Source organism: Homo sapiens, chromosome 19 (assembly GCF_000001405.40).
Source record: "Homo sapiens chromosome 19, GRCh38.p14 Primary Assembly".
NCBI lineage: Eukaryota > Metazoa > Chordata > Mammalia > Primates > Hominidae > Homo > Homo sapiens.
In genome coordinates this window covers 58,148,798-58,155,198 of record NC_000019.10, presented here as the reverse complement: position 1 = coordinate 58,155,198, position 6,401 = coordinate 58,148,798, and the positions used below count along the sequence as shown (strand labels likewise).

General features: G+C 48.0%; 1 protein-coding gene across 11 annotated transcripts in view, besides 1 other annotated feature; it reads left to right on the top strand.

The window, feature by feature from the left end:
• Nucleotides 1-94: 94 nt before the first annotated feature.
• The window catches only part of ZNF329 (zinc finger protein 329), a 28,857-nt gene continuing 22,550 nt past the window's right edge, over nt 95-6,401 (top strand). For 4 of the 11 annotated variants that reach the window (XM_011527316.3, XM_006723381.3, XM_011527312.3 and 1 more), the window contains exon 1: nt 4,410-4,447. The gene's annotated coding sequence lies outside the window, so the exon portion shown is untranslated. The other 7 variants (XM_006723384.4, XM_011527313.3, XM_011527310.3 and 4 more) reach the window with 3 other exon arrangements.
• Nucleotides 4,274-4,333: an enhancer, noted in NCBI's record as "active region_15178". NCBI's record gives its function as "activates an Ori minimal core promoter by ATAC-STARR-seq in GM12878 lymphoblastoid cells {active_cell/tissue: GM12878}" and the evidence as "EXISTENCE:reporter gene assay evidence [ECO:0000049][PMID:35858748]".

Sequence of the window (6,401 nt, the reverse complement as noted above, 5' to 3'; positions counted from 1 at the left end):
CGGTGGAGCGCCGCGCCGCGGGGTTTTCTGGGAGATGTAGGCGGTGGAAGCACACTCATGCGCAGCAACGGCGCCGCAGTGGGCGCTCATGCGCAATGGAGGGTCCGGCGTCCGCCTTGGCGGGTGGGAGTGATGACCTGCACTCCCCAAACCACTGCGGGATAGAACGGGGCCGAGTGCTCTCAGGGGTGGCCGCTACCGGGGCGGCCCGAGACACGGCTGCGGGTTCCAGCCAACAGGCCCGGAGTCGCGGCCTCGGCTCCGCCGTGGGTGCACGGGCTAGGGCTGCGGGGACTCCTGTGGGCTCCGCGTCTGCGGCTGGGAGGAATGGGGATCGTCCCCAGATCCCGCCTTCCGGGCAGGGCCTCCGCTGCCTGCGATCCTGCCCACAGTCCAAGGATCCTCCTCGCCTCTCGCGGACTGCGGTGTCAGCCGCCCGAGCCGTTCCCCGGACACCTGGCCAGGTGACGGCCCCCGACCTCCGCCTGGGGCGGGGGGGGGGGTGGTCTGCGAGTCCCCCTCACCCCCAGCAGACGTTCCCGAGCTCAGAAGGAAAAAAAGGACGAGGAAGGGGCTGCTTATGAGTGTGTCGGTGTTGATTTAGTAGTTGTGGAATGTGAGCCCTGGGGAAATAAGTGGAAGAGGCATGGACCGTGTGGCTCCACTGGGGCGTTCGCGAATGCCTCCTGGAGGAGGAGACCAACCAGAAAGAAGAGGCAGCGTCCAGCAACTGGACAAAGGCCAGAGGGCCTTTCTGGCAAGAGGACTGGGGTGAGCAGAAGCTGATCCGGCTCTTTATCCCTGGGCGCAAGTGCTGTGTGGCATAGGTCAGTGAAGGCCTGAAAGGGATGTTGAGCCAGCAGCAAAAGGCCTTGAGTGCCCCATTAAATAAGTTACAGCTGTGGCTGACGCCTGTAATCCCGGCACTTTGGGTGGCCCAAGCGGGCGGATTGCCTGAGCTCAGGGGTTGTAGACCAGCCTGGCCAACATGGTGAAACCCCGTCTCTACTAAAAATACAAAAATTAGCCGCGCGTGGTGGCACGTGCCTGTAATCCCTGCTACTTGGGAGGCTGAAACAGGAGAATCGCTTGAACCGGGGATGCAGAGTTTGGAGGCTGCAGTGAGCTGAGATCACGCCACTGCACCCCAGCCTGGGCGATAGAGCAAGACTGTCTCAAAAAAAAAAAAAAATCACATATGTTGGCCAGGCAGGGTGGATCACGCCTGTAACGCCAGCACTTTGGGAGGCTGAGGATTACTTGAGCCCTGGAGTTTGAGAGCAGCCTGGGTAAAATAGTGAGACCCCATCTGTACTAAAAAAATTAGCCAGGCATGGTGGTGTACACCTGTAGTCCCAGCAACTGGGGAGGTCGAGATGGGAGGATTGCTTGAGCCCAGGAGGTCAAGGCTGCAGTGGGCTATGATCATGCCACTGGACTACATCCTGGACAGCAAAGCAAGACCCCATTTCTAAGAGAAAAAAAAAGTGCCATTTTGTAAATGACTTCTGGGATGCTTATCTTGATGTAGAAAGTCTCCTACCCCAAGAACAAACAGATAATTCCTGAACAGGGATTGGCAAACAATGGCCTCAGTGGGCCTTCTGTTTCTGTAAAGTTTTATTGGAATGCAGTCACACTTGTTTGTTTAGTATTATCTATGCTGCTATCTGGAAGAGTTGGGTAGTCATGGCAGAGACCTTATGGTCTGCAAAGCTGAAAATATTTATTATTGGGCTTTTCACAGAAAAAGATTGCCTACATGTGACCTACAAGAATATACACTTGTGGCCAGGCGCAGTGGCTCACGCCTGTCATCCCAGCACTTTGGGAGGCTGAGGTGGGTGGATCACCTGAGGTCAGGAGTTTGAGACCAGCCTGGCCAACAAGGTGAAACCCTGTCTCTACTAAAAATACAAAAATTAGCCGGGTGTGGTGGTGTGCGCATGTAATCCCAGCTACTCTGGAGGCTGAGGCAGGAGATTCACTTGAACCTGGAAGGTGGAGGTTGCAGTGAGCTGAGATCTTGTCACTGCACTCCAGCCTGGGGGACAGAGTGAGACTCAGTCTCAAAAAATACAAAAAAGAATATACACTTGTGCCAGCACAGTACTTAGCACTAAGGATTTCTCTTTGCCACTGAATGGAAAAAACACCCTTGTTATTATTAATGATGTTATGCTTTATTGTTAACTTTATTACTAGATTATTACTTTTACTCATCTCTTCTTGCATACTCTTCTATTCTTCTGATATTTGTGTCTGTATTAGTGCCTATTTGAGCCCATCTGCTTAATATGGTACATTTTAGTATCTAATAAAGGGTGCCTGACTTTTTTTTTTGAGACGAGAGTATAGCTGTCACCCAGGCTGGAGTGCAGTGGCACGATCTCAGCTCACTGCAACCTCCGCCTCCAGGATTCAGGCAATTCTCCTGCCTCAGCCTCCGGAGTAGCTAGGATTATAGGCACCCGCCACCACCCCCGGCTAATTTTTGTATTTTTAGTAGAGACAGGTTTCACAATGTTTGCCAGGCTGGTCTTGAATTCCTGACCTCAAGTGATCCACCTGCCTCGGCCTCCCAAAGTGCTGGGATTACAGTTGTGAGCCACCGCGTCCGGTCTCCGACTGTTCTTTTAACCAGATACTGTTGGACTTTTCTCCATATGATCTTTAAGTTGTTTTATTCTGTGAGCTGGGGGCGGGGGGAGTCTTTGAATTGGAATTGCTATACTTTTGTTTAGTAGTTTTGTGAAGATTTTTTTTTTTTTTTTGAGACCGAGTACTAGGATTGCAGGCATGAGCCACTGTGCCCAGCCAATTTTTATATTTTTAGAGATGGGGTTTCACCATGTTGGCCAGGCTCATCTTGAACTCCTGACCTCAGGTGATCCCCCCAGCCCGGCTTCCCAAAGAGTTGGAATTACAGGCATGAGCCACTGTGCCTGGTCTGATACGGCCTTCATGGAGAAATTAAAAAAATACTTTCCATTCAGGAATAATATGTCAGTGTGTTCTGAACTTAACTTCAGGTCTGTTAATGAGGTTTTTGTATTTTCTTCATGAAGATCCTTTATTGCTTTTGCTAATTGATTTCCAAGTTGCTCCAACCATCACTATTGTGAGTGACAATTTAATCACTATTATGGCTTAGAATTTTTTTTCTAATTTTCATTTCAAAATTGTGAAGTATTTCAACCTGCGGAGAGGTTCGGAGAGTAATAGAATAATCTATAAATAATAAAGATGACACCCATGTATCATCGAGATTTTACCTGTGTTAACATGTAGTCAGATTTTCAGGTTTTGATTTGTTTTTTCCTATCAAGCATCACAGGTGTAACTGAGGTCTCCTTTGTCTCCTCCCCAACTCTTTCCCCTCAGTTGCCACTTTCTTGAGGTTGGACAATCTATCTGGTCCATGTTATTGTTACTTTACTACTTATGTATCAATCTCTGTATAACATATAGATTTTGTGTCTTTTATTTCCAGGTAAGTTGTATCATGTGGATAAGTGCACAGTTTACTTTTCGAACTGTTTTTGGAGAACTGTCTATCTTGTATATAAGTTAGTCCTTTTTTTTTTTTTTTTTTTTGAGACGAAGTCTCCCTCTTGTCCCCCAGGCTGGAGTGTGATGGTACGATCTCAGCTCACTGCAACCTCCGCCTCCCAGGTTCAAGTGATTCTCTTGCCTCAGCCTCCCGAGGAGCTGGGATTACAGGCGCCTGCCACCACGCCTAGCTAATTTTTGTATTTTTAGTGGAGACGGGGTTTCACCATGTTGGCCAGGCTGGTCTCAAACTCCTGACCTTAGGTGAGCCCAGTCCGTTTGTTTTAACCACCCCCTATTGCTCCGTTGCACATACCACAGTTTCTCTCTTCCCTGTCAGTAAATATTTAGGCTTCCCCATGCTAAAGTTTAAGAGAACCACTGAAAGAATGAAAATGTGTAGTTTTCATTTTCAACCGGCTATTGTTACTACAGAGGAAAGTTACTGGCTTTGTTTACATTTCTTAGATCTAGTCATTTTAACAAATTAGGCCTCCCAAAATGCTGGGATTACAGGCGTGAGCCACGCACCCAGTAAATAATTATATTGCCAATGAATAATGAGTGTACTTATTCTGAATTTTAACATTATTATCTCAAAAAAAGATTATAGATAAAGAAATATTTTAGGAAATTATGCAGTAAATAAAAGGAAGGCTCTATAACAAAAGAATGATAGCATCGGGTTAAAAATCAGAGGAGACCATAGGAGAAAGTAAATGCCTGCGCGTCCGCCCCGAGGCAAGTCCACGCCAGGGTAATGAATAACCCGGTACCCGCGGCCGCCCCAGCGTTGGGCGGGGGAAGCTCGGGGACTCCGCGCACGCGCACATCCTTGTCCCGGCAGCCGCGCAAGCGCAATCGCCCGGAACATGGCTGCCGCCGGCCGCCAACCGTAAGTGCCGACGCATCCCTGAGCCCTGCGCTGCCTCCGTTTCCTGCGGAGGGAAGTCTTGGCGGGTGGAGGTCCGCCGGGTCCTTGTGGGGCGGCGAGGGGCGCGTCCGCGGGTGGGTTTCACCTGGGTGGTGGGCATGTCGGGCCCGCTAGGGCGAGGGTCTGGCCAGGGGCGTAGTTCTCCTGGTGGGTGGGGACGCTCCGTGGCGATTGGGGTCACTCCTCTGAGGACGAGGTCGCTCCGGGGCTGGTCTGGACGCCCCCGCTCTTTCCTTAGCGTCACCCGTGAGTTCCGCGCTCGCATCTCTAGCCCGCCCTCCCATAGAGACTGTTTTGCCACGCCTGCTGGGTGTCCTGGTCCGTCTCCGGGGGTAACCCCCGAGTCTGCAGCTTTTCTGTCAGGTGTGAGGGGCAGTGTAGGCTTGGGTCGGCCTCCGGCTGAATTGGCGGCCGTGAGCCAGTGGGCTGAGCCGCTTCCCCTTGAGTCTCGAAGGTGTTAGATCACCTGTGTGTTTTTCCATTTGATATTTGCAAAATCATGTTTTACTGCAATTCTCAGTGAGGGCCGCATTTTTGCACGTGTTTAGTGACCATTTTGCTGTCTTTTCCCTTGGTTTAGTGGCATATTTCCTTTGTGCAGTCTTCCAGTCTCAATATTTTATGACATAAAATGTTGGTTTAGATAGAGAAGCTGAAAGACTTGTGCAGTGAACGACCCGGTTAACGTCTGCTGAACTTACTGTATCCCTTATCTTTCCTTCTGTCCATCCTTTCAGCCATTCATTAATCCACCTATTTTTGGAAACATTTCAAAGTAAGTTGCAGATATCACAACACTTCTCCCTCAAACACCTCACTATGCTTACCATGAATTAGAGTTCAGTAGTGCTTTTTTAAATTTTTTGAGCCAAAATTGACTTTCAGTGAAATGCACAGATATTCCCTGTACCATTGATGAATTTTGACAAATGCAACCTAAACCTTTATTAAAATTACCATCAGCCTGAAAAGGTCCTTTATTTTTTGCCAAGTTAAAAAATTTGGCTATAGGAACTTGGGCTTGTTGAAGTACGTTTTGAATACCCAGTTTTTGTCTGTTTTTTCTTTTTTCCCACAGCAAGTGACTTTCCTCCATTCTACTGCTTGTTTACCTCTCTCTTCACCCAACTTTTCATTTTGAAAAGTTCCGCATTTGCATAGAAGTTGCAGGAATAGTTTAACACTTCTAAAACCATCCAGATTCTAAAATTATTAACACTTTTTGCCACATTAGCTTTATCTTTATCTTCTCCCTGCCTGAGACACATGCATAGGTGTTACCAGAAAGGGGGTCCCGAGCTATAACCCAACAGAGGGTTCTTATATCTTGGGAAAGAAAATTCAGGGCGAGTCCATAGAGTAAAGTGAAAGCAAGCTTATTAAGAAAGTAAAGGAATAAAAAAATGGCTACTCCATAGATAGAGCAGCCCCAAGAACTGCTGGTCGCCCATTTTTATGGTTATTTCTTGATTATATGCTAAACAAGGGGTGGATTATTCATGCCTACCATTTTTAGGCCATATAGGGTAACTTCCTGATGTTTCCATGACATTTGTAAACTGTCATGGTGCTAGTGGGAGCAGGACCAGAGGTCACTCTCGTTGCCATCTTGGTTTTGGTGGGTTTTAGCCACCTTTACTGCAAGCTGTTTTATCAACAAGGTCTTTATGACCTGTATCTTGTGCAAATCTCCTGTGTTATCCTATGACCTAGAATGCCTTAACTGTCTGGAAATGCAGCCCAGTAGGTTTCAGCCTTATTTTACCCAGTCCCCATTTAAGATGGAGGTTTGCTTTGGTTCAAACGCCTCTGACATAGGGTTTTCTTTTTATATTTTACACACACTTGTACACACAGCAGGTGTTGCAGAGGCAGGTGTGATACAGACATATATTTACATACACTTAGTTTTTTT